Below are 27,906 nucleotides of genomic sequence, written 5' to 3' on the forward strand. Positions count from 1 at the left end.
GGCATAGCACAATAATTAAACAACATTATTGTACATTATACAACAAACAAGGAAAGCCTGATTAGCCAAAGGCCTCTGTAACACAGCCACGTTAATTATTTGGTGGCTGCTGGATGGGCCTTTTTATCTTTTTCTTGATCACCTTGGGCCACCTCCTTGTTCATTAGCAGTCCTCAGAGGAGGCTGGAAAAAGACAGTATGAGATGCAACTGAGGATTAGCCTACTAATGGAAAAATTCAATAGTTTGCATCATTTTCTACAGGATATCACAGATAGAGATGCGTGCAAACACATGGATGTTCAGTCATCTTTGGTTAACATGGCCAATCCAGGACTAGAACATTCCAATCAATCCTGCCAATTTATAACACTTCAATGAAGTATTTTCATATAATTGTGTGTGGATTTCACTTAGTCATCCTAGCTTTGTCCCCTTCCCCTTATAGTGGAATTTGATAGACATCATTTAGGTAACAAGGGCTAGATAAATATAAATGATTTGATAGAATAGAGCTGGAAAACTCAAGTTGCCATTGGTAAAGGAATTTCCTGTTACTCACCCCTACTGTGGGAGAATACCCCACTTGTAACTTGTCTTCTGTAATCTTCATTTAAAAGGAATATTTCTCCTATACCACCTCAAAGAGCAAACTTTGTAAACTGGCTCAGAAACCTCCTCTTAACCCAAAGCTTCCACAATCAATGGAAAGAGTGGAAGTATTTGTTCTCCTCTTCCAGCTTGCCATGTCAGTGGCCCCAACCCTCACCCTTGCCCTCCTCAGTAGTTCTTTGTCTTCTTGATCTTGACATTTTTGAATATTAGAGGCTCATTCCTTTATAGACTGACCCTTGGTTCTGGTTCATCTGATGTTTCGTCATGATTAGACTCTGGTAACTTTTCACATTAACACAGAAATAATGCTATGTCCTTTTTTATACTTATTAGTTGACTCTCTAAACAAGAGCTTTTACCTCTCCCCTCATTTGTTTATGTCATCAATTTCTATATCAGTATGGATTTATAAATTATTATTTTATTTAATTGGTTATAATTCATTACCATATTTATTTTGATGGTTAAATTCTCCCAATTAGTCCAGTGGGAGCCCATCAAACTGGCCCCTGTGTCTTTTTGATTCTTTGACAATTCCCCCTACTTTCTGGCTCAACTAGATATTCAGGCCCATGTTGTACTTTCCCTGCCCCAGCCCAAGAATGTAGCCATTTCTCCAAGTCATGCTCCATATTTTTAAAGGTAACATGTTGACTTGGTGGTTTCCAATATAAAAATAAGCATCAATCTGTTCAGTGCAGAATGGAAACATCACTGGTCAATCTGCAGAAAGTAGCCAGCGAGTGCAGCTTTTTCCATGTGCTCACTTGCAGTCACATTGAAACTGGCTTTGCTTCTGGCCACACACAGCTGGGCTATGAAAGCCATGGGCAGCTGAAGGTCAGGGAGGAGAAAAGTGAGAACACAGAGATCAGAGTTCCAAAGCAATAATGCAAGATGGTGGCAACAAGGGCCAGCACACCAGCCAGTCTGCTTGCAGGGCCAAATGTAGCAAAGACTCTTCAGAACCAGTAGAGCTTGCCCAGGAGGTGTGGGTTACTTCCCTGCTTGTGCCAGGACCAAATTATTTATCACATTCCACTTGTCGGGAAAATTGCATCTGGTTCCATTTTACATATATAATTGCATAGTAATCTGTGACTCATCTATGAGAGAGAAAATATTGCTATTTGTTCTTTTCAGAAAGAAAAAATAAAGCATAAAGAAACTTGCATGCAATGCTCAGAAGCAAGGGGAGTTTCGAGTTTTGTAGGGCCTGAAGTCTATAATATTTTATCCTTTAACAATAAAATAACTGTCCGGGCGCAGTGGCTCATGCCTGTAATCCCAGCACTTTGGGAGCCAAGGCGGGCGGATCACAGGGTTAGGAGATGGAGACCATCTGGTTAACATCGTGAAACCCCATCTCTACTAAAAAATAGAAAAAATCAGCTGGGCATGGTGGCGGGTGCCTGTAGTCCCAGCTACTCAGGAGGCTGAGGCAGGGGAATGGTATGAACCCAGGAGGCGGAGCTTGCAGTGAGCCGAGACAGGGCCACTGAACTCCAGCCTGGGTGACAGAGCAAGACTCGGTCTCAAAAAAATAAATAAATAAAATAAAATTACTAATTAAAAAAAAGTAAAGCACGACTATATGAAATTTCTAGGGCCCCTCGCTGAACCTTGTAAAGGGCTGTGCAAGGGAAGGAACTTGAGGTCAAGTTTCATTAGTCTCATGGAAAAAGTCCTCCTCTGCCCAGAAGTAGTTCCACCTTCTTGTCATGGACCACTAGGTCCTGCACTGTAGTAGACTATTTCTTCAACGATGCCAGTCAGCCCTTCCACTGTTTTGGGAGAGTCAGATCTTCCAGGTTCTATTCCAGTAGACAGTACCAACTACATTCCTACTCGGTGGCCTTCAAACTCCACCAATATCTTTCAACATAAAACAGGAAAGCAACCAGAACTCCCACAAAAGCTTGGGAGCAACCTGTTTGGCAGAGGAGTAGAGTCTTGTTGGGTGTTTGTAAGCTAACTTCACCTGTGCACAAATGCCAGTTTGTCTACCCAAGTGAAGTGACCCTGCAGCTAGGATACCTAGAACTGCTCTAATCAAAGTCCATCCAAAGTCACAGGCACAGTTTGGAACAGGACCTAGAAACTCAGGCTGACAGGTGTAAGCAATGCTGCTCTCCAGGCAGGGAGAAACCCACATACTGAGTCTTACTTTCATGTTCTCAGTATCTGCTCCCACCCCGTTTTACCCCATCCTGGGCTTCACACTCAGTGAACCCAGTCACCATTCACTGAACTCATTTTCCCACCTTCGTGCTACTGATCATGCTGTTTCCTATGCCTTTAAAGTCCTTCCCATCTTCTCTGGGTAGAAAAATGCTGCTAATTCCTCAAGGCAGATCAGATGCCAACTCCCTGTGCAGTCTTCCCTGCACTCTCTGCCCTGCGAAATATGCCCCTTCCCTGCTCCCTCCACCCTATGAAAGTAGAATAAAATCATTCCAACTTCTGTGTGCCAATCATACTTTTGTGTAAGTCTGTTATAGCTCTTATCACATCACGCTGTGGAATGATGTGGAGAAATCTCACCAGCTACTTTACCTGTATCTGTGCTGTTCCTTGAATTTCCTGCAATCTCAACAGTACCTGGCACAGAGGGGCTTGAAAAAATGTTTGCTGAATTAAAGACTGTAGCCAAAAGGCAAGTGTTCTTTTTCCTTTCACTTAAGTAGAAGCTTATCTTAATTAAAATAAAACTACAATATTATTGGGTTTTTAAATTACGTAGCTGTATATAGCTGCATATAATTGCAGTGCAATCAAACCTCTGATATTTTTAGGCAACTCTTTCTCTTGAAACCCTCCGTACCTTTGACTAAGTATCAATGTATTTCTCCCCAATAAGCCGGGTGTATACACGTATGTCTTTTAAGAAACTTTGGATTGTTCAAAATTTCAAACATACAAGCGTTGCCAGAATGTAATAAATTGCCAGCGACCAGTTTCAACTCATGGCCTATCTTGTTTCATCCATACCCCAAACCCACATTCCCTTTCCATATTATAGAAAGCACATGCCAGAACTTATATCTGTGAATACTGTGGAGTGTACCTTTAAAAGTTATGGCCTATTTTCAACAATATAGCCATAATACCATTATCACATCTAAAACATATTTAATAATAATCCCTAATATCATCAAATATTGAATGAGTGTTAAAATTTACAGTTGCCCCAATTCTTTTGCACTAAGATGTTCAACAGTAAAAGTACATTATAACTTCATTCAACTCATAAACAAATTGCCCTATTTAAATAAAAGCTCTGAATTCATATCCTATAGAACCATAACATTCCTCAGGACAAGACACATGAAGTCTCATTTTAATACAATGCCCTAATTATGCTGCTGAAGTTTTATTAAACATTTGTCCTATGGAGATATGTAAAATAATTTGTTTTCAGTTCATTACCTTTCTACTCAAAGATTTTATCCCATAAAAACTTCCATATGAGTTAGCACTATTTTTGAGTTATTCATAGCTCATAACAATACATTTTATTTTTAAGTCTTAAATTACTTCTTTCTCTTCCTCCTGAAACTCAAGTGCTCACTCTCAATTAACACAAATGCTTTCACTCTCAATTTTCACTTCTAAAATAAAACTATGGCTAGAAAGAAACTGCTCTCAATGAGCAATTCATAAACAAATGAAATATGCAAAGCCACAAATATCCCTTATAATTTTTATGTGGTCATGCAAATTAATGCATAAGAGTAAATATTTTCATCCACAATAACACAAATTAATGAGTGCAGGAGACTAACACCAAGACTGATCTGGGAGGTGATCAGTGCCTTCAGCAGACCCCAGGACTACAGATATTCAGAAGCAAGTGAGAGACTTAAGAGCAGGTACATAAGTTCATTTTTTGGTGACTCTGGACACATACAAAACATTCCTTAATCTGGAATTGGAAACAGGTACATAAAGAGCAAAAAGCAAGTGTACTCAATTTATCCAATTGACATGTCTCTGCAAAACATTTGTAGGGCAAAATCTTACCATTAGATGAATATTAAGGTCAAATTTTTGTGAAATTAAGATTCTTTTTTATAATGTAAAAATCATTCTTTTTCAATTAGGTTTGAATATAAAAAGTTTTCCCACCAAATACAAAGAAACTGAAAATGAAAATGTCTATTTAAATATAGAAAATATTTACTAATTCACACTAGTGGAAGGTGACATGGAATAATAGAAAATTGGAATTACTTTTAAGTATATACAAATATATAGAGTACATATATTTGCCAAATAAATGTCCTTTAAGATCCTTTAGTTGGTAATTTTATTTGCAATTATTTCATTGTTTCCCTTTTTTAAAAAAGATTATTCTAAATAAAAGTAGTTTATCTTGCTGAATAGGTTAAATGTCCTTCCCATGCCTGCTTTATTTACTATTAGTCTGTTTACAAGCACTCCTTCATATAAGGCAAAAAGCCTTATGACAATACCACAAATTATTAACATCTGGGCTCAAATTAATCAAGTTATACTGTGTTCTTAAATTTCTGAATTCTTTACCTTTTTTCATGTGTTCATGTGTTCAAAACAACTCTATAATATCCAGGGCCCCCAGGGAATCAGCTCCTATTCAGGAAGATCCTTACTCAAAACTAGCCCTCCTGAAAATGACACCTATATAGAGAACATTTCTCTTGCATGTTCAGGGCTATTGCCAATCACCAGAAACCAAGACGGTGTCTATTCTACTTCAGTAAAAGGACAGGGAGGCTGACAAAGAAATACAAAAGAGAACACAAGTCACGTGGAGCCAACTGCCTGGATTCAATTCCTTCAGAAAGTCACGTTAGAGACTGCCACTCTAACCTCTAACCCCACTGCTTCAAAAGTTGCCATTCCCTCCATCCTCCACAGCTCTGGCCACATCCAGACGAAACCATTAAGGCTGGTGTATACCCTACAGGGCAGGAAGTGAATCATGCTTCACTCAACTGAAATGGCAGCAGGTTTTTAGAAAGCTAAACACAGTCAACCCAAATGAATGGTAACACTTACCTTGTAAAGATGTGACTAGGGATTGTTATTGATGACAAAAGATCAGCACTTGGGTTTCCATCTCCCTTCACAGATGAGATTTTTTTAAAAGCATAGGGCACTTTACATACAGACACAGAGTATAGCTATGGAGATCACCTTCTGTAATACTAGCACTCAGAGTGTTCTCACTATTAACCCAGGACCTCCACTCATGTTAGATCTCTAGCTTGCAGAACATGCTGAGTTCCAGACTTGGACTGTCTTTCCTCTTCCACAGCAGAATTTAAAAAGCTCTATTTCCTCTTCCTTAGAAAAATTTTAAAGTTCTCAAAATGGGGATTTCTCTAGTCTCTTCCTTTTACCCTTAGTGTGATCTGGGGTGATTTTTAGGGTCTTATTACAAGCAAAATCCTAATTATGGGGAAAGCCATTATCTGGCATCTTATTTACTATAACCCAAAGCAAATGTTTGGGGTTCCTAATTATATTGATCCAAATATCTCCCTCGTATTTTCTTACACACTTACTATTCTCTTTCAAGTAAGACTTTTAAAAGCTGTTTCTAAATTTACACTTTTACTTGGTGCTGCTGACCACATTAAAACCTAACTTCCAAAAATAAGTTAAACTTTAATGTGGTTTTATGTTTTTAAGCATACTCTAACTATATAACTTTAAAAGTATGACTTACAGAATATTTATTTCCTTAAGAAAATATACAAATGCTTAATCAGAGACAAAGCAAGGGATTCCAAATCAGTTTTTTATACTGCAAAATATTGCAGTGAGCCATGATTGCACCACTGCATTCTAGCCTGGGTGACAGAGCGAGACCCTGTCTAAAAAAATATATAAATATATATGTATGTATGTATGTGTATACAGGTATATATATATATACACATATATACGTATGTGTATATATAATCTCAAAATTATTAATAGAGAATAGAAAAATTGATCTAATCTGATGCCACCTTCCAAGTCTCATAAAAATACAAATAAAATGTTTCTAAATTATAGGTATATCCTTAATAAAATTACAAAAACATGAGATTATCAAAGGAGCCCAACAGTTTCTCTAAGCACATCAGACAATATCAGAAGTCAATAGTTCAGATTAAGAAGGAAAGATTAATCTAGTAATTCTAAGGGTAATTTGTGTTACACATTTTTAAGGATTTTCACAGATAACCACGCATGGTAATATATGCAAATACACAAAAGAAATAAAACCTTAAAAGAACACACTAAATTTATTTTTTTTAATCTTCTAAAATGAGAATCATGACACCCACAGCCGGCATTTCTTCAGAGCCTACAGCTAGACAACCACCACAAAAAATGTTCTCTCTGATATCAGCTACAACCAACCCCCAGGTTAAAATATTTGTGGGTTTGTTTTTTTTTTTTCCCTACCGTGTTCAATCTTTTAAAAATTAATAGTCCTGAGTGCAGTCTTCTGGAACCAGAATGCCTGGGTCCAAACCACAGCCCTACCGTGTACTAGCTGTATGACTTTTATCCAGTCACTTAGCCTCTCTGCGCCTCAGTTTCTTCATCTGTATATATATATACACCTATCTCATTAGGTTGAAGATTAAATGATCTAATAAGCATGAAATGCTTAGTACAGTGTAGTACATAGTAAGTAGCATATAAGTATTAGCTAATAATAATAATAAACAATGAAAATGAGGATGAGGTAGCAGAACCATAACCTTGACTACCTTTGTGGAACCTCTATTCCAGGGTGAAAATACAGATACCAAGAGTATATAACATTGAAAATATTTTGGGGCCTGGTGTGGTGGCTCACACCTGTAATCCCAGCACTTTGGGAGGCGAAGGCAGGAGGACTGCTTGAGCCTAGGAGTTCAAGACCAGCCTGGGCAACATGGTGAGATCCTATCTCAAATTTAAAAATATATATTTTGGAAAGCCTCGATTCATGCCTCTGGTCAATATTCATAAAGTATTATGGCCCATTGGAAACGATCATGCTGTAGCAGGGAAAGAGAGCCTAACATTCTCTCCGATTGCAAAAATAACATGCGTAAGAGCCACTTCTGATCAAGTAACCCAAGTTGATTAGATTCTGTTCACCTCCCCCACACAAGGCCTCTGACGGCACACACAGAATGGATGCAGCATCCTACATTCTAAGTGTAATCATTCAAACCAACCTAATCATTTTTTTGACAAAGGATTTGGGAAATTAATGTAGGCTTGTTAGCCAGGGGAATGGTAGTAAGCAGCAGCTTCAGTCAAAGCTAGCTTCAATACATACATTAACAGGCAAGGGGTATGGTGGCATTCCCCAGAGAATTCAAGGCAAAAGTCAGGTGTGGTATATGGGCGTTTTCAGAATTCACCCCGATAAGGTCAACCTCAAGATCTTATTCTCACTTCCAATCTCACACAATAGAAAAACCTATTCAGTTTCCACTACATAACCCTTCCTAGAGACCACTTTAAAAGATGTTACTGTAGTCCACAATTTTTAATAGGTGCGCTTGAAATGGCATTGTAACCATTTGCCCACTCACTTCAGGAGGCATGAAAGGAACCCAGATTCAGCCATTAAAGTCTTACATTAGACAGAAATCAACTTAATTTAACTAACCTAGTACCTTCCTAGATATACTTTTCTTACCTTTCTTTCTCACATCTCATGACCAATTTGCAGATATGCACTGCTGGTTTAGTGTACCTAAATACAGTCATTACAGACTTCTTCTATCGTATCTTCTGGAGAGACATTTTGGGATACACAATTTTTTTTTCTTCCTTCCTTCCTGAGACACTTTGGGATACACAATTTTTTCCCCCTCCCTCCCTCCCTCCCTTCCTTCCTCCCTTCCTTTTTTTTTTTAGATGAGGTCTTGCTCTTTCACCCAGGCTATACAGCACGGTGGCACAATCATAGCTCACTGCAGCCTCCAACTGCTGGGCTCAAGGGATCCTCTCACCTCAGCCTCCCTGCTAGCTGGGACCACAGGCACAAACAAGATCCACAATATTTATGCATTTGAAGACAGGATCTCTTATGTGGTCAAACATCTCTCAATCTCTCTATTTAGTCAACTACTATTAGCTATTCTAGAGAGGAAAATTAGTAATTATTGTGGGCTTGAAAAGAGAGTTCCAATCACAATCAAGTTTGTCTCCTGAGGTTAAAAGCTAACCAAAGGCCGGGCGCGGTGGCTCACGCCTGTAATCCCAGCACTTTGGGAGGCCGAGGCAGGCGGATCACGAGGTCAGGAGATCGAGACCATCCTGGCTAACACGGTGAAACCCCGTCTCTACTAAAAATACAAAAAATTAGCCGGGCGTGGTGGCGGGCGCCTGTAGTCCCAGCTACTCGGGAGGCTGAGGCAGGAGAATGGCGTGAACCCGGGAGGCGGAGCTTGCAGTGAGCCAAGATCGCGCCACCGCACTCCAGCCTGGGCGACAGAGCGAGACTCCGTCTCAAAAAAAAAAAAAAAAAAAAGCTAACCAAAGTGTGACACCTACAATGTGAATCTGAGTGCCTCCCCTAATGAGTAATGAGCAGTATTAAATTACAGGTTACTACTGATACCATATACAAAAAGCTAGATGATGTCTTATAAAAGTAGTTATTAACCAAAGACAAATTAACAAAACCTTTGGTTAAAAGGCTTCGTATCATTCTTGATATGATATCATTTCTGTTTCTCTATTTCCTTATTGGTACATGAAACTGCAAATGTGCCTGATGTAGATTAATATTTTAAGGGTATCCAATCGTTAGGCATCATGCCTCCACATTAATCTTTTGCATTTTGTTGCATATAATCCTTTTCCCACAGTTCTAATTTTAGATATAGTTAGTCCATCAGAATTAATCTTTTCCCATATAAAGACTGGTCACAGCTAAGATCGAATAGTTTCTCCTTAATCTTTTTTTTTCCTCATAGAGAAACATATGGATTATTTTATTAACTGGTCTTTTTACTCTCTTTTCATTTTGAAATTACAAACAGATAGGGAAAAGGTGTCCTTCACTGCTTGTTCCCAGGGCTAAAGCACTGCAGTAACGTTCGGTTCACAACTCAATAGCATCCTTGGGAATGGGTTACATTGTGGCAATCTTTATCCATTATTAAAAATACACACAGTGGTTTTATGGAAAATGTACTTCTACTATCAACAAAAATCTTTTGGGCTAAACACCGAATCCACACTGAGGGACAGACTTAACTTTAAGCTTCTAATATAGCCTGCACTTTTCTAAGTTTACAGAAGAGTTGTTTCACTGAAAATTCTGCCAGTGGATATGCTGCAAAGAGAAATAGCAAAAAGCAAAGTCATTTTCATTTGGACGCATAAAACTATGATGAACTCAGGCTCAATTTCTTGGCTTCTTAAAGCTTTGGGATTGTTTTTATCTTGCACAGTGGTATCCGAAGCAGAGACATTTAGCTATTCCTAATTGTGCCAAATAGATACAAATATTAATATTTCACTGGCACTTACCATGGCCAAGGTGAAATTTAAAATGTTAAATACTCCTTATTTTCCAATAAATAATGCACTCTTGGAAGCCTTAGAAGACTATCCCAGCAACTTTACGACATAGCACGTCCTTCCCTTGATTCTAATAGTAAACAAGTTCCAAGGTTCTTCTACAATCAATTTCTACAATCAATCAGAAATGTTCTTTGGCTGGCAATCATGACTAAAGCACCACTTTGAAAGGGAAAAAGAGGTGTTAGGCTGTGTAGACTCAAAGTAGAGAGAAAGCCTTCATTGTTATATACTAGCCACTGATTTAGCCTACGCTGATACTCAATATGGCAAAGCAAAAACTAGAGTTTTACAGACATACTTTGTTAACTGGCTTTAATCCCTCAAAGTGATATCTAAGTCAAATTTTAAAGACCAAGACAAAATTTAAATATACTAGAGGTATTTATACTTAAAAGGTACTGAAGGGAACTATTTATCTAAAGAAAATGTTAAACCCCAATTTCATAGCACATGCCACTGCTCAATAGTGCATGATATGGTTTGGCTGTGTCCCAACCCAAATTTCATCTTGAACTGTAGTTCCCATGATCCCCACGTGTCATGGGAGGGACCCAGTGGGGGGTAACTGAATCATGGGGCAGTTACCTCCATGCTGTTCTTGTGATAGTGAGTTCTCACGAGATCTGATGGTTTTATAAGGTGCTTTCCCCCAACTTCACTCTGCACTTCTCCTTGCTGCCCCCATTTGAAGAAGGCTGTGTTTGCTTCTCCTTCCGCCATGATTGTAAGTTTCCTGAGGCCTCCCCAGCCATTTGGAACTGCGAGTCGATTAAATCTCTTTCCTTTATGAATTACTCAAGTCTTGAGGCTAATACAGTGCAATTTTGAGTGATTTTTTTTGAATACTTATTTTTTAAAGTAGGTGAGAAATTGATTCTTCTCACAGGAATAATCAAACGAGACTTTTTTTTTTTTTTTTTTTAAACAGAGTTTCGCTTTTGTCCCCCAGGCTGGAGTGCAATAGCGCAATCTCGGCTCATTGCAACCTCTGGCTCCCAATTCAAGCAATTCTCCTACCTCAGCCTCCCAAGTAGCTGGGATTACAGACCTGAACCACCACACCCAGCTAACTTTTCATATCTTTAATAGAGATAGGGTTTCACCATGTTGGCCAGGCTGGTATGGAACTCCTGACCTCAAGTGATCTGCCTGCCTTAGCCTACCAAACAAGTCCATTTTATAAAACCATTTTGGGCCGGGCGCGGTGGCTCACGCCTGTAATCCCAGCACTTTGGGAGGCCGAGGCGGGCGGATCACGAGGTCAGGAGATCGAGACCATCCCGGCTAAAACGGTGAAACCCCGTCTCTACTAAAAATACAAAAAATTAGCCGGGCGTAGTGGCGGGCGCCTGTAGTCCCAGCTACTTGGGAGGCTGCGGCAGGAGAATGGCGTGAACCCGGGAGGCGGAGCTTGCAGTGAGCTGAGATCCCGCCACTGCACTCCAGCCTGGGCGACAGAGCGAGACTCCGTCTCAAAAAAAAAAAAAAAAAAAACCATTTTGAAAATCTAAAAGTGCCATCATTTCTTAAAATAAATCACACCAATAGTTAACTTGAAGTAAATATCTTTAAGGACTTCAAATACTTAAGAGTTTTTAACCTGCTGGTAAGGTCTGAGCTTTCCTGAAATACTTTTCTTACTATCTCATCCTATTTCCTACTCTCTACTCCAATCTCTCCTATTCTCTAGTAAACCAATATGGCCATGATACTCAAAATCAGACAAAAATAGAAATTCTGAGCATTTCAAACTTCTTCTAGGTAAAGCTCTGCGGTTTTTTTTTTTTTTTTGCTCTGTAGCTTTTTAAAGATACAGCTACAATCAACAAAGGACTGGCACATTTCAGACCACAGCTACTTTTCTACTACAATGTGACTTCATATTTATTTAGTCCTATCCTGTCCCAAACAAGGTTTGTTAAGACAGCTTACAAAAATACACACAGAATAAACCATAAAATTATTTATAAGGGATTGACAATTTTGGAAAAAGGAAAAAGGTACATTTATGTTTATATTCACATAATTATAAAGGTCTAAAAAGTTAAACCCCAACTTCATAGTACATGTCACTACTGAATAGTATAATTGTGAGTACTTTTTTTTTAAAGATGTACTTTTACAAGTAGGTGAGAAATTGATTATTCTAAGATGTCAAGGTGGGTGAACTTCTTGAATATATTTTCCTATTTTCTCTTTCTCTCTTTCAAATGTAACTTTCATTAGGTCTTCTGTTTTCTGGTTCCTAAGTCTGATCCGTCCAGAGGGATGTCATTTCGAGCCACAGAAAAAAAGTACAGCCTACCCCATCAGAAGACTCACATCTGAAGTCCATTATTGTTCCCCACCACTTAGATCTGAATAAGATAAAACATTTAAGGAGCAAAAGTTTTTAAATTCTATTGTGAGGGGGCCAACATCTTTCAAAGATGGTTGATTTCTTTTTGTGTAGGCAGGTGCTGCATAGACTCTGAATAATAAAATGAAGTTGGGGAGGTAAGAAAGAACTCATTCATAATAAAAAGGATAAAGGTGCAGGGAAAAACCCTACACCTTTGTAAGGCTTCTGAGGTGGTGCGAGGTGAGACCTTTTCTTAGGCAGCTTCACAACAAATAACACTGTTTTTGCATCGTATTTCACAATGAACCCCAAAGCGACTAAGGCTTGAAATGAAAATCCCTTGTTTTATTCCAGTTTTTAGGAAAAACCCAGAGTTCTCCCCTAGAATTTCCAAACATATATCAGTAACCACTTACTAGCTTTCTCTCTTCTCAGACTTCTACCTTGAGTAGTCAAAATGCCTTACCTAACCTTGCCCTTTTCTCTGACGTTTTTAACAATCACACGTTCTGCCCTTCCTCTCCAGTTTCCTTGAGGCTTCTTGAACATCTAGTCTCAATCCACCACACTACGCACACTGTCGTGTCTATGTTAGCACCTTGAAATCTGTGCATAGAAAGCTGAAAATGATGGCTACTCTGAAACATTGCCCAAGATACAACCTTCTTGATTAGCTCCTCAATATGCCCAAGACAGAGCCATACTGACTTATTTCGTGGCTCTTAGCTGGTGCCTAATGCAGTGAAAACCCCTTTTAAACAGCACTGACTAGGTATGGCTGGGAGAGTTTCTAGGAGGGAAACACGCTCAGACATCTCCAAGTTTTCTCGTAATTTGGGAAAATATAACCATTAGGAAGTGTTCTCTTAAGCGTCTGGAGACCTTGCACAAGTTACCCCCAAAAGCACAATAAAATCTAGGTGAAAGAATAGAAGAAATCAAAAGCTATCACAAAATAGAGGCCTAAGCACCTCTTTAAAAAGCAGGAACAGCTAGAAAAGTAGATTTAGCATTTGGACATTCAGGGTTTACCAGACCTATTTGCAATACTAATTAGTCTTAAGTTGGCCCTCCTTTGCAGTCCTTTAGCTGGTAAACTGCTAGAAAACATGGATTACACCTTGTTATTAATATAGAAAAGCCCTGGTGCAGGTGGCAGAGCCATGAGCAACCTGAATGCCATGATTAGGGTCATGACGAGAGCAATTCCAGTATCTGAAACTCACACAGAAGCAAGCCTCACAGGCAAATACCCAGATGATAGAGGCCCTATATCCAATGCCAAGAGTCAGATGCTACAGCGCAGAAGCAACAAATTCTTCCAAAAGAAATGATTCATACAAATTAATTGTTTTCTAATGTCCTTTAATTATAATTAAAGAGTTTGAGCATCGACTTTGGTTTTTTAATTAAGCCCAACTTTAGCTTATTTTTCTATATTCTGAAATTTAGACATTCAATTCATGTATGTTCTATTAAAAGACATGTCAACTTATATCAGAATATAAATTAATATTAACACATATAAATGATATATACTGAATAAAAGAACATTTTAAAATAAAAGCTACTCAAATGTGTATAATATGAAACAATGAAGAATTCACCACAAAAAGTAATTTATTGGAGCCAGGTGCAGTGGTACATGCCTGTAGTCCCAGCTACTTGGGAGGCTGAGGCAGGAGGATTGCTTGAGCCCAGGAGTTTGAGGCCAGCCTGGAAGCACAGCAAGACATTGTCTCTAATTTTCTTTAAAACTCACTTTTAATTTAAAAACTTTAAAAAAGTAATTTCAAAAAAATAAAGACGTTTAAAAATGTATTGGTCATCACATGACTTTATTCTTATTTGTCCTTTGCAAGAATCCAGATTATATGACACATATATACTTACTCATGCACAAGGCAAACTGACTGACCACATCACTCCTATGTAGAGGAGAAGGTACAGGTTTTTTGTCTGTCTCTTTGTTTGTTTTGTAGAGAGACAGGGTCTCTCTATGTAGCCCAGGCTGGTCTCAAACTCCTGACCTCACGTGATCCTCCAGCCTTGGCCTCCCAAAGTGCTAGAATTACAGGCATGAGCCACAGTGCCCAGCCATAAGGTACAGGTGTTTTTGTTGTTGTTGTTGTTGTTTTGAGACAGAGTCTTGCTCTGTCGCCCAGGCTGGAGTACAGCGGTGCAATCTTGGCTCACTGCAACCTCCGCCTCCCGGATTCAAGCGATTCTCCTGCCTCAACCTCCTGAGTAGCTGGGATTACAGGCACGTGCCACCACACCAGCTAATTTTTGTATTTTTAGTAGAGACAGAGTTTCACCATGTTGGTCAGGCTGGTCTCGAACTCCTGACCTCGTGATCCACCCGCCTTGGCTTCTGAAAGTGCTGGGATTACAGGCGTAAGCCACCGCGCCTGGCCAAGGTACAGGTGTTAAAGAGGCAATACCATTATTCCATTTAATGGACCCTCTTTTAAAAGAGTAATAATAATAATAAAGGACTGTAATAAGCATTGTTTAAAAAAAAAAAAAAAAAAGGAAGCCACACATATTCAAGGCATTCCAACCCCCAAAAGGTTTACCAACTACTTGAAAGGGGCCCCTCTTAAATGTGAGGTCTCTTCCCTCATACACATGCCGTTTCTTCCTTAGTCAAGTCAGCCCCTCCTCTTCCATACGTTTCATCCACTGCCTCTACTGACACCATCCTATTGTAAACCCTCTAACAAAAAGCCAGGAGCTTCCAGTTGCCAAATCCCAGGAGACTGGTCCTTATCTCGCTGCATGTGATTATGCTGACTATATTCTCCTTAGTGTTTACTACACCACTCTCCTGGTGCTCCTCGCCAACTGGACTGTTCCTTTTTCATCTCCTTTGAAGGATCGCCTCCTTCAGAAATACACTGAATCTTGTGTTTCCCAAAGTTCCTGCCATTGTTCTTCTCTTTTCCTGCTATACGTGCTTTGCCAATTTCATCCACTCTGAAATTTCAGCCATCTGCAATGTCTATACCCGCAACCCAGACCTCTGGCTAAACTCTAGTCCTATACATCCAAATGACTACCAGACATCCCTTCAGAATGGACCATAAATACACCCATTAAACGTCGCATGTCCAAAACCAAACATCTTCCCTCCAAAACCTAAATTGGCTAGTAACACCATTTTCCAAGCCAGAAAACTGGAAGTCATCCCTGATTTCTCTCAGTCCCCCCTGTCTACTCAATGGACTCCTTAATATATTTTGAAAATGGTCTCCTATCTCCATCTCTACCCACTACTCACCTACTTGAAGCCCTTCAACATCTTCTGCTGAGTATTCTGTAACATCTTCACCGACCTCCCTCCACCCAGTCTTGGTCTCAAACCTATCTTTCGTATGGTCATGATGACATCACACCCTCGTTTATAATCCTTTGATAGTTTCTCTTCTCCTATGTCATAGGGCTTATGCTTCTGAGCGTGGCAGATAAGGCCCTCCACGTCCTAATGCCTTGCCTCTCTCACCAGCCTCTTCTTCCACCACTTTACGTCCTGAGCTTTCTGTTTCAACAGCACCAAAACACTCATGATTCCCTGCTCATGCCCTGTGTTTTGTACCTTCATCCTCCATCCATGGAGCCCTCAGGTTCTTGCAGGGGAGGGGCAGTAAACCAGATGGTTGTCACTTCAATGTTTAGCCCAGCATCTGGCTCCTAAGCGGTGCCATGTGGCCAGTCAGTGATAAATGATGGGAGACAGTATATGGTATGTCCAAAAGGAGTGACAGAAAGTGTGGAGGGAATTTGGACTCACATTGATAGTCACTGCAATGGGGCCTAAACATGCTAAGCACCTTCCACACGAGAGGTATAGAGAGCCAGCAAAAGCTCGACTCTTCCATCTAACAAGCACCACAAACCTAGAGTCATGCTCTACTTTTTTGGAGAAAACATGTTGGCTTCCCACTGAGCCTGCCATCATGAGGCACAATAGTGGGCATCTTGGTGGTTTGCTAATAATAACAGCTGATATTTATAGAAGGCTCACTGTGGATCCAGAACTTTACTGAAAATTCTACAAGAACTGTATCTCTCAGTCCTCACATCAACACTATGAGGAAGGAACTACTGTTACCCCTGCTTTACAGGTGGGGAAATGAGGCCCAGATACCAAGTAGCTGTACTAAAAGCACAGAGATTTAACCTCCTGGACCTTATTCACCAGAACGCAAGCCAAACCTCCATATACATTTTACTTACTTCCCAAAATTTTATGTGTACATCAAGAGCTGATCATAAATAGAAGGTCAAAGTGACCTATTGTGACATCAAATCTTGGAGCCACTTTAATGTGACTTCACTAAATTGCCTTCGTCCAGTGCCTCACAGACAGCATCCCAGCACATCATGGAGAGCTAAGTGACAGAACAGGCAGCTCCTCTTCTCCCTGGTGAGGCCCCTTCTGCTGTGCCCTGGCTCTCTTTTGCCCCTCATTTGTCCATATTCCTCTCTGGTTTGCTCCAAACTCCTCCTCCTACCTTCAATTAAGATGGTGCTTTAGAACAATACAAGGTAAGATCTCTTCTTCATAAAAACAGAGAACTCATCACACCTCAGGAGGTGCAGAAGCCAAAAATACTCATAGGTTTGAGAAGAGTTTAGATACAGTCACAGATGAGCGAAGATGAGGGCAGTATGGAGCTCAGAGAAGAACCATGTGCTGAGGAACAACCTGCAGGGCTAAAAATCAACTAAGTCCATGGATATGTATGGAGCACCTGCAATATCCAAAGTACTATTTCAGACCCAGCAGCACCCCTGCCTTTAAGGAGCCCCAAGCTCTGACCACTACTTGGGTTCTGTTAGGGAATGTCAGCTCAGAGCTCCCCATGGGCAATGGGATCTTTGCAGCAGGAGTATCCTTCTAACACCAAGGACTTGGAGCTCTTGGAAAGCACTCTGTGTGTCAAAAAAGGGTGCACCCACACAGGCTATCCCCACACAAAGGCAGCTGCAGTGGTCCTCTAGATGTGTGCTCAAGCCCAGAGAAGACTTTGACTGTGGCAATTTGGGAGGGAAACAAATAAAGTAGACAGTATATCTTCACAACAACCATCGCTAGTGGGCCACATGCAGGGCAAGAGAAAGAACTAACACCCCAGCAAGCCAGAAGCGTCTCCCTGTCCTTGAGGTCAGGGCAGAGTGGAGAGACCCAGGCAGGGAGTAAATGGAACAAGTAACAACTAGGTGTGAACCTTCAAGATTTCCCTTCCATCACGCTCCACTAGCATAGGTAGTCTTCCGAAGACCTAAATCCACTGGTCTCCTTCTAGGACCAACATCGAGAGGTCATCAGAGTCGTAGTCACACAGCCTCAGGAGCAATAATGTCCAGGTTTGAATCCCTGTTCCACCATTCATTAACTGTGACAAATCAACAAAACTCTCGGGGGACTCAGTAGCCTCATCTTTTAAATGGAAACAATAATTAGACGAGCCTCAGAAGGTCATTGTGAAAACTGAAAGAGATGATAACATGCAAAGCATTTAAAAGTGTCTCACACTCAGAAAATGTGAGCTGTTAGTATTATCACTTTTTTCCATCAGTGGGACCATGGAAGCCCCCTTCTAGGCCATGACAAATTGTGGACCCCACGTAGATGCTATATGCAGGAATAACTTAGAACACAAGTTGTCCCGTTTGAAGGTCAAACCAAAATTCTACAAAGAAGGTGACTCTAAATCCCCCCTACCCCCAATTCTTATGCATACCTTCTTTGCATGAGACACTTATTTTTGATCAAATTAAATCAAAACTGATTTCAGCTGCAGCACATAGTTTTAAAAGGTAAAGCAGAAGAGCAGGTAGATTTTGCCTGCTTGATAATTTCCCTTGGTTCTCTGAAAAGACAGGCTGAGTCTCAGTCTGCCAGAGAGACCAAACGTGTAGAAACGAAAGGAAGAACAGAAATTTTCAGGCTGCTGCGCAATCCATACAGCAACGAAAAGACCCCAAGTCTAACTGGTGATTAAGAATCAAAACAAAACGGCCGGGCGCGGTGGCTCATGCCTGCAGTCCCAGCACTTTGGGAGGCCGAGGCGGGCGGATCACGAGGTCAAGAAATCGAGACCAGCCTGGCCAACATGGTGAAACCCCATCTCTACTAAAAATACAAAAATTAGCCAGGCATGGTGGCGTGCACCTGTAGTCCCAGCTATTCGAGAGGCTGAGGCAGGAGAATCACTTGAACCCAGGAGGCAGAGGTTTCAGTGAGCCAAGATTGTGCCACTGCACTCCAGCCTGGGTGACCTGAGCGAAACTCCGTCTCAAAAAAAAAAAAAAGAATCAAAACAAAACAACCTAATATTTGTTACTATTCTAATGAATCCGCAATTGTGGAAAACGCACCAATAATAAATCTAGGTGTTAGCAGAGGCACAGACATAATTGAAAGATAAAAGACGGATAAGAAAGTTAACTTGGGAAAAAAACCTTCTGTTTCCAAACTTAAACCAAATAGGTACTCTTTTTGTTTTTCAATTGTGGCATGGGGCAAGCAGTTTATCCGTGCATCTCAGCAGAATCACTATGTAAACCCCAGGCCAAAAACAGACATGAACCCTTAGAATTGAAGGAACAATGTCTACGCTTACAGACTATTGTTTGCATATATCGTGAGTCCTATAGGTTGGCCCATTTTCTCACCCCCATAATTTTATCTGCCCAAATGCATATTTCTAAAAGAAGTTCAACTAAAAGTGGTACAGTATTATGTTGTATGAGATAGTCTCCTAGGAAGAAATTGAGAGTCTAAAAAATTGTTCTGAGGGTCACCTATCTGCTACAAAGGCCTGAACACTGCAGCTTATACAATGATTTTTAAAAACTGATTAAAACCTTTTGGATATTATTTGGCCTTGCTGAAAGAAGAGTTTTACTTAAAAATCATTTAGAAATTGCATTTTTAAAGTATGCCTTGGTTTCACCATTGGGTAGCAGACGGATAAGTGTAACTGAAAGACAAGAAAAGTGGCCCCAACTAACCAGAAGAAAAGCTTACAGGCCTAGCTTACAAGCCATATTACAAGATGCTAGCCCTGAAATTCAGGACTAATGCTGTAATTAATAAGGATATGATGAAATAGTCAATATTATGCAGGTTCATTCAAGAAACATTTATTGAGTTCCTCCTATGAGTCAGATCCAAACCTTGCTTTCAAGTTGCTCACCACCCAGCGCTGGCCACTCACCCATAAGCAACACAGGACAACTGCCACGTCATGTATAAGGTGCTAGGAGAGCATGAGGAAAGGGAAGACCCAGGTTCTAAATAGAGAGGACCAGCAGAATTAGGAAAAATCCCTTCACATCTTGCTGACTAGCCCTAATTCTACTCACCTTACTTCCAAGCAGGGGGCATGCACATACACATTCAATTAATAAACTATTATCTGCTGGCCAAAACCCTCCAGTCATTTCAGTGAAGGTCAAGCCCTCTTTTGTTTCTGTAGTGGTGGAGGACTCTAGGTAGCCAGGAAGAAGGATGCAGATATTCCTAGGATTTAAGGTAGTACCAATAACGCTATGCAAAGTTACTAAAAATTTGAAATCTGTTCCTTCCACTGTAACGTGCCCTTAAAAGTCAACTGAATCAAACCTTGAGTTGTGTGGTCCTAAAAGATGAAGTGACTTGCTCAAGGTCACAAAGTTCATTGTAGCAGTGGTAAGGGAGTAGAGGGAAGAGCTCTGCACAAGAGGCGGGCTTACTTCTCCTGCAGACCTCCATGCTACTTCTGCTATAGAACTTAGTACAGAGGCAGAAGGTACCTTGGAATTTGTGCAGAACCACAAAGATGCTTTAGAAGGTAACAAGCCAGGAAGGAAAAGTAGAATGGAATTTCTACAAGCTATCTCTAAGAAAAGTGGAGTAACTTTTCCTCTCACCATTTCAAAAACTAATTCTGGGTAATAGTCAACATCCAATGTCACCTACCATTCCTTGCTCTATTTCATTTTTTTCCCTCCCTCTTCCATCTAGCTCTCCCCTCCATGGCCCATCTCATCCACCTCTGCCATCTCCATGTCCAAGTTCAGGGGCAGCAGTGGTATGTGATGTTGGCAGCAGTGCCCAAACATCAGCAATCAGTCTACTGCTGTCCCAGCACCAAGCCAGGGGCTGTGAAGGGTGAAGGTGAAGGCTCTTTGGGTCATCTGACCCTTGTCTCCACTCAAAATGAGACACCAGGGTGTTCTCCACCCACATACATTCAGGATTGCTGTCTCCAGTCTCTATTTGAGACATCAGAGATGTCATCATTTCCATATGCTTCTCCTAATAAAGTAACATCCATTTAAAGGCACTGCAGTCATGAGTGTGTATGTGCGGCAATTGGATAAACAGGTCTTGTTCACCACACAGAGGTGCCAGGGTGGAGCCTACACCCATGCAATCACTGTCCTCAGGCCCGGCCCACACTCTGCAGCTTGTACGGACCTCTTACTGGTACACATGCTCCTGCAATGGCAAGTTGAAGAATACAGAAAAGGAGGAGAGGCACAGTCCACGAATGCTCGTGCTCCCTTGCCCTTCTCTCCTGTAAGAAAAGAGTGAATCCACAAGGAGCTCAGTAAAAAACTGGAAAAAGGGAAGTTCTTATTAGTGTGTTGACACTCGTTGCAAAGCTTGGCCTATCTCAACAAGTCACTTTACTTTCCAATATAACTGGTCCCTCATAGACAAAGAAAGGAAAAACAAAGATGACTCTCAGATACCTGTGCTTCTCACAGCTGTGCAGTCAAGACAAGGAAAAAAACGCCTTTTCTAACTTCCTCTGGCACTAACTGGAAACTCTGGACTTTGGGGAGGCTATTAGAAAAAGGTTAAATATGAGACTAGATAATGATATACCAAGGGACCCATGTCAGGGCTGTTTGAACACTACTCAGAAGCAATTGCTGTTGAGAGTTGGCGACCACTTTAAAAGAGCTCCGAAGAAGGCAACGTCTGCAAGCAAATGCCTTCGTGGTGCCCTGGGAAGAGCAGGCTGAAGACTTCTCACTTTGCACGAACATCCCTGAAAACATTTGTTCACTGTTCTGTAATTCAAAGATTACTAGGTACACATATCTAGTAATTATTTCCTATATGCGGCATATTTTCTTGTATTGTTCTTGCTTTAATTTTAGTTTCACAAAGACATAGCTTTACATATGCAACTGTACCCTCCCCCTTCCTTTCAATGAGAGCTGTAGAGGTTTTTGGTCTACATCGTGAAACTTCCTATTTCATTTATTCTGAACAAATTGGTCAGTCCACTCTTTGATAAGAGTTTATTACAAAATGTGAGTGCTGACTATAAGTACTATCAAAAATATGTTGAAGATTATTTTGATACCTGTATTTATTTTAAAAGGAGGGGAGAACAGAGATGGATTTCTATCAAAAGGAGCCACTATGTGCTGTTACATGCCATATACATGGTAAATATTTATTTACAGTGTTTGACTAGGTTTAAATAAAAGCCAACAAAAAGAAAAAAAAGAGAGTTTACTTTAAAAGTCCTATTTGTGTAACTTAAAAATTAGTATGTAACTCTTTCCTGAACCTAAAACTACAGTGGTCCTGCCTTATAAAATTTGTACCATTACCCAAAGCACCTTGTGGTATCAATTACAGGGTTATGAACAACCAGCCACTAAAGCTATCTGATTGGCTTAATGTCCCCTGGTGCTTTATAATGATAACTACATAGTATATAATTACACAGTCCCCAAAAGATACTTATAATTGAATCACAGGGCATTTTTTGAATGTTTGGGACAGCAATTAGAGGACCACAAAGTGATAGTATTGCAACTCTCACCAGCTAGAATGTAAACGAAGCACCCTAAAATTCAATCATAAGAGTCCTTCAGGTATTAAATAATTATAATACAAATCACATGGAGGGGCAAGTTTTTTTTTAATTGAACTGTCCCCATAACCGTGGAAGATTATATTTCCTAATAGTCTGTAAAACAACGTAGCTACATTTTCAGATTCCTATTTCTTCATCCAACTGGAAAACCTGTAGCAAAGGTAGAACAGTCAAAAACCTGTTTCTTCTTTTACTTTGCCACCTACTTATTTGGTGACCTAGTGAGTAAGCTAGGTCTCACTGTCGCTCCACTCATCCTATAAGCATGCTGCATAATCAGAATGTCTGTCTCATTCTGTAAACATAAAATGGCTGTATGTATACAGATATTTACAGATTTAAACAGAAACAAGGATACTTCATCTATTTGATTTTTTACCCATACTTAACACCTCAAAATGTATGATCATTTTTACCCTCACCATTTTCCTCTTTCTCCAACTTTCTTATTCCATACTCATCCCTTCTGCCATCTCTCCCATCTCTCCCTCCAGGGAGGTTGTGACAGTTGTATTAAAACCTCCAGGACTGGCTATCTATGACTGGCTCCACAGTGCTCAGGGCAAGAAGAGTCAACTGCAGGTCTTTTGTGGCTCATTATCTTCTTGCTTCCATTTCTTAAAGGGAGAATATGTAGATTGGTCCCCTAACTTAGGAAGTACGGGGAAAGTAAAACCAGAAATACTTCCCCTAACTTTGACTCGTATAAACACATTAAGGAAAGGAAAGGTTGAAAGGATGTTCCCACACTCAAGGAACTTGTACAACCAAGTCAAGCGAGGCAAGTCAAGAAGAAAACAGAACCCCAATCATTTCTCCAGATGCTCTGAATCACCTCCAGGGCACAGGCATAGATGTTCCCCAACCCTGAATGCTACAGCAAGTGCATATCTACTTACAGCAGATTTGTAAACAGATCTATTCTCCACTTAAAAACATTTTTTCAAGACCAGTGATTAAAAATGTAAAAACTAAAGCCTGAAAAAATATCAGTTCCCCTTGCAGAGCCCAGTGTTAAAATATAAACTCCGATGAGTGATTAGAAAAACACCACAGAAATAAATATACATATACATACATGTGTATTTTTTTCCAGTAGATTTTGGCCTTTTAATGACATTTGTTCATGAGAAAAAGAAATTCGCTTGTCCCAGCACCATAACCCCACCAACCTTCATGGGTGTTCTGCAAAAAAAGGTCCCACAGAGACCAAGAATATGGTGACATTTGGTGCTCTTCGATCAGAGTGTGAATATCACCCGTTTTCTCCTTTTAGCTCTTGCAATAAAAATATTCTCAGGCACGAATCACAATGGCACGGGCTACAGCCCCTCCTCATGGAGTGTGATTCTCTCTGAGCCTCGCCTTCTGCTGCGTTTGAAGGAACCTCTCCCAGGACCGAGTAGCCCTGCTGGATCATCCTTTGCACTTTGGAATCAAAAGAAAAGAAACCAGAATGGGTGTCCATAACTACAGAGGTGTTGAAGTCATAAAGGGCTCAGGAGGATGGTGCAACTCTGGCCACAGTGGAGCACACTCACAGGGCAGCCAAGGAGACCCCTCTGGAGGAAAGTGGAGTTAATTAGACTTTTTATGCACATACACATGCTGGCTTCACACATTTAAAAAATAGACCCATGCTCAGCAAAAGGCCTATTTTAACACTGTCTTGTAAAAACCACATAGACGAATACTCTATCTCCTTTCTAGCAGCAACCCTGGCTCTAGACACTTGCTGATTTTAGCTATTTAAGCCTTAAGAATAAAGATGTCATGTGCAAAGTGCTCTGAAAGCATTAAAAACAAAACAACTTTCACTCCTACAAGAAGTACTGAGCACCAATGAATTAACGCATTTAATAATTAATTGGCATCCTTGGAGGAAACTGTCCCTCTGTAATGTAGCCACTGGGCTGCTGTGAAAAAAGATTCCAATTTATATTTGTTGAACAAATGATTTGATTAGTGACCAAAGTAAGGAGGAGTGAATGTTTTCCAAGCATGAGCTTTTCCACATGGCCTGGGTCAGCCACCGTACAGCAAGGCTGGCATGGGGCCAAGAGCCCTCTTGCCAATGAGACTAGACGTCTCTGAAGAGCCACCATACACCCAATGCCGAGAGAGTTCCCCAAACAAAAGCCAGCCACGGAGTTCAACAACTGGCTTGCCATGGCACCATATGCTCCACAATATTGTCCTGCTGCAACAGTGGGGCCTGTCTTCAGTGTCCCCATGTGCTGCACAGCTGTCAGCCCAGGAGCTGTTTTATCATTATTTTCACTGTTTTATTACTTTTCTGGGAATTCAAATCAGTGTAACCACGCTTGATGCGCCGGTGAAAAATGCTATCTCCCTCCCCCTTCTCCTTCAACCTAATGAATTGCCTTTTTTCATAACAAAGAGTAATGAGCACCAAACCACATAATATTTATTCAAGGAACAAAAGACTTAAGAATGGGGTGGCAGGAAGAGGAGCAACTCCTGGGTGTGGACAGAAGAAAAGCTGGACGTTATAACAGAGCCCCTCACACTGATCTCTGGTGACAGTGGGTTCAATTTATAGGGAAATCCAAACCTTTTGGCTCTCCCCACTCATTCCTGGGAGGGGCTTCCTTCAAGCAATTCCCTAGTTCATGTGTAGAGACCCTGCTGCTGAGAGGTGGCAGGAGCCAAATGTAATTCATCCCATAGCCTTGACTGTGAAGTGTCTGCACATTTTATTTTTCAGTGAAATTCCCCTAAAAAGCCTCCTCTTGCCTCTCTCATAAGCAATAAGCCCAGTATATCCCAAAATGTTCTAGATACATCCCTTCCCCTCCTCCCCCACCGCATATTATCATGACCTCCATTGTGGATGAGGGCATAATTTAACCCAGGGAGAAAGGGCCACAGAAATAATGGCGATACTGGAGCCGTGTTTATCTCAGATGACATGAATCTTAACCCTCCCCACTTTGTGCCATAATCAACCGCTTATACTTTGTCAAGTTTTCTTATTAGTCCAGAAAATACAAAATAATGTACGATATTAGGAGTAATTTAACCGAACCCATGGTTAATCTCCCTCTTTATAGACATGGGCAGTGTTTAATCATTCCCTTTGCAAAGGATCCCCAAATTGGGAGAGGCTGGATGGATGACTAAGTCAAGTTGGTGCAAAATGAGTCACGTTTCTTGAAGGTCACTTCCCCAAATGTATGAGCCACCAAAGGGAAAGGAAAACTATTTCTTAAGGTAAGCTAGCTATTAAACAAAGATTCCTCAAAAAATGATAAACAATGATGCTAAGAAAGAGGTTAAAGTTAAAGGGCTATGTGAACAACCTTAGGAAATTTAGCACCAGTGGCTGGGTTGCTTTTTCTTCCTCCCATTTCATTATTCAGTATTTTGAATTTCTCCATTTAAAAATTCTATTTTGAAAATTTTAAAGGAGATTTTTTGTTTTTGTTTTTGAGACGGAGTCTCGTTCTTTCGCCCAGGCTGGACTGCAGTGGCGCTATCTCGGCTCACTGCAGGCTCCGCCTCCCGGGTTCACGCCATTCTCCTGCCTCAGCCTCCTGAGTAGCTGGGATTACAGGCGCCCGCCACCGCGCCCGGCTAATTTTTTATATTTTTAGTAGAGACGGGATTTCACCGTGTTAGCCAAGATGGTCTCGATCTCCTGACCTCGTGATCCGCCCACCTCGGCCTCCCAAAGTGCTGGGATTACAGGCGTGAGCCACCGCGCCCGGCCTAAAGAAGATTTTTTAAACTATAAACAAAGTTTAATTTTTTTCAAAAAGTCACAAAAGTAGTCACTTCTTCCTACAACCTGTGCCACCCATATGGTTGTGGGTTTTAACATTGAAAATTTTCTTTCTAGATAATTTTCCTCAAGCCCAGTAATCAAATATTTTTCTAAGCAATCCTCTTGCTTCTTCCTCTTACAGTCTCATTCCTGTAAGTCTGTCAAAGCTAATTATCTCGCTCCTCAAATTTATTGCTCTTTAGTGTATCATAAACACATATATTACAAAAAGTTGAAGAAAACAAGTGTGCATTACACTTTGAAGGAAAAGATAGACATAAATATTCAAAGTATGCACTATCTTTGTTAATAGAGTAATGAAAACGGCATTAGAAAAAGTGGATGAGAATATCAAAGCCAGCCAATCCTCCTTTCTTCTTCCATATATGGTGGTCCCCACCCCCAGAAGTCAATACCAGAAACTCCTACACCATTACTTCAGAATAAAGAGGAAAGCAAAGTTCTCTAGTCTGCAATCCTTTGACATTCCAGACCACAGATAAACACGAACCCTACCAAACCAGTAACACAAACAACCTGTGCCTCCGTGGAGGGCACGAAGGCATGATTCTCACAGGCACAATCATTAAGCTCCTTTACTTGAAACTACTGTTACATCTTTCTGAACCTTCCAATTCCAATCTCAACCACAAACTGAAAGTTAATAAAAAGCCCCTGAATGATTCATATAAATCCTTTAAATCTAAGAACAGGAGCCAACACTAAAAAAGCAATAGCCCATTTAAATTTCAATAGCTTGAATGCCAGACATCCCTGATTGTCACATTTTGTCACCCACCAAGTCACCATTTCATGTTCCTAGTTCACTGTGGGATCCAGACATATTCCACTCTAACAAATACAACTTGCCAGAAGTATTTCTGAGTGTGGTTATTTACGATTTTCACAAACAACTTTTTCAAATATTCCTTCAATAGGTTCTAAGAATTAAGTAGCATGAAATCCAAATCTAAAATCATTGTCTCCATGCTTCATTGAAGAAAATGAACGTGAAAAAATCCAATAGCAGCTGCAAACCATTTAAGAATTCCTAGTTAAACTGCAAAATACATTTTCAACCATTTAGCCATAACAACTTCTAAACGGAGAAAGTTGCTTCTTTATATAAACCACCTCTGTTTACCAAACATCAGAGAATCTCCGGGCAGAGGGCTACTGCAGGATGGGAATAGTAAGAGAATGTTACAACCCATGAGGTGCTGATCTGCACACACCACCGTGAGGAAATACCTTAAGTGATTAAAGACAAACGCCACCTGCATGCTTGGCAAAGGAGTCCACTGCTATCGCCACACACTCTCCCCAGTGAGAGAGGGGAAACGATGGACTGAAGTCCCACAGTGGATTAGAACTGGGCACAAAAGGAGCCAGGAACAGAAGATGGCAGCATAGGAAGGGAATGTTATGCTTTGCCCCAGCTGGGGACTCTGGCAGTATTATCACTTAGGCATCCTGAAGCCCAAACTCAAGAATAAAGAATTAAAATTTCATATCTTCTTTGACTTAGTATCCAGAAAATTTTGTTGAATTCTGACATATCTCAAATTTCTTTGCGTATATGTTAACAAGATACTCCTATTTATAAATTCATATGGCTATTTGGCTATTCTGTCAAAATTAGCCTTTAGGCCAGGCAGAGTGGCTCATGCCTGTAATTCCAACACTTTGAGA

At 40.5% G+C, this 27,906-nt stretch overlaps 1 protein-coding gene and 1 long non-coding RNA gene across 4 annotated transcripts in view; one reads left to right on the forward strand and one right to left on the reverse strand.

Annotated features, from left to right (window-relative positions):
* Window positions 1-27,906, reverse strand: part of MAML3 (mastermind like transcriptional coactivator 3) — a 437,432-nt gene that overhangs the window by 394,375 nt on the left and 15,151 nt on the right. The gene's annotated exons all lie outside the window — the stretch shown is intronic.
* Window positions 16,888-27,730, forward strand: MAML3-AS1 (MAML3 antisense RNA 1). The gene is made up of 5 exons (NR_147610.1): window positions 16,888-16,960; window positions 21,924-21,990; window positions 22,922-23,995; window positions 25,502-25,661; window positions 26,528-27,730. It is a non-coding gene; the product is annotated as an MAML3 antisense RNA 1 (long non-coding RNA).

This window comes from Homo sapiens, chromosome 4 (genome assembly GCF_000001405.40).
Source record: "Homo sapiens chromosome 4, GRCh38.p14 Primary Assembly".
Classification (NCBI taxonomy): Eukaryota; Metazoa; Chordata; class Mammalia; order Primates; family Hominidae; genus Homo; species Homo sapiens.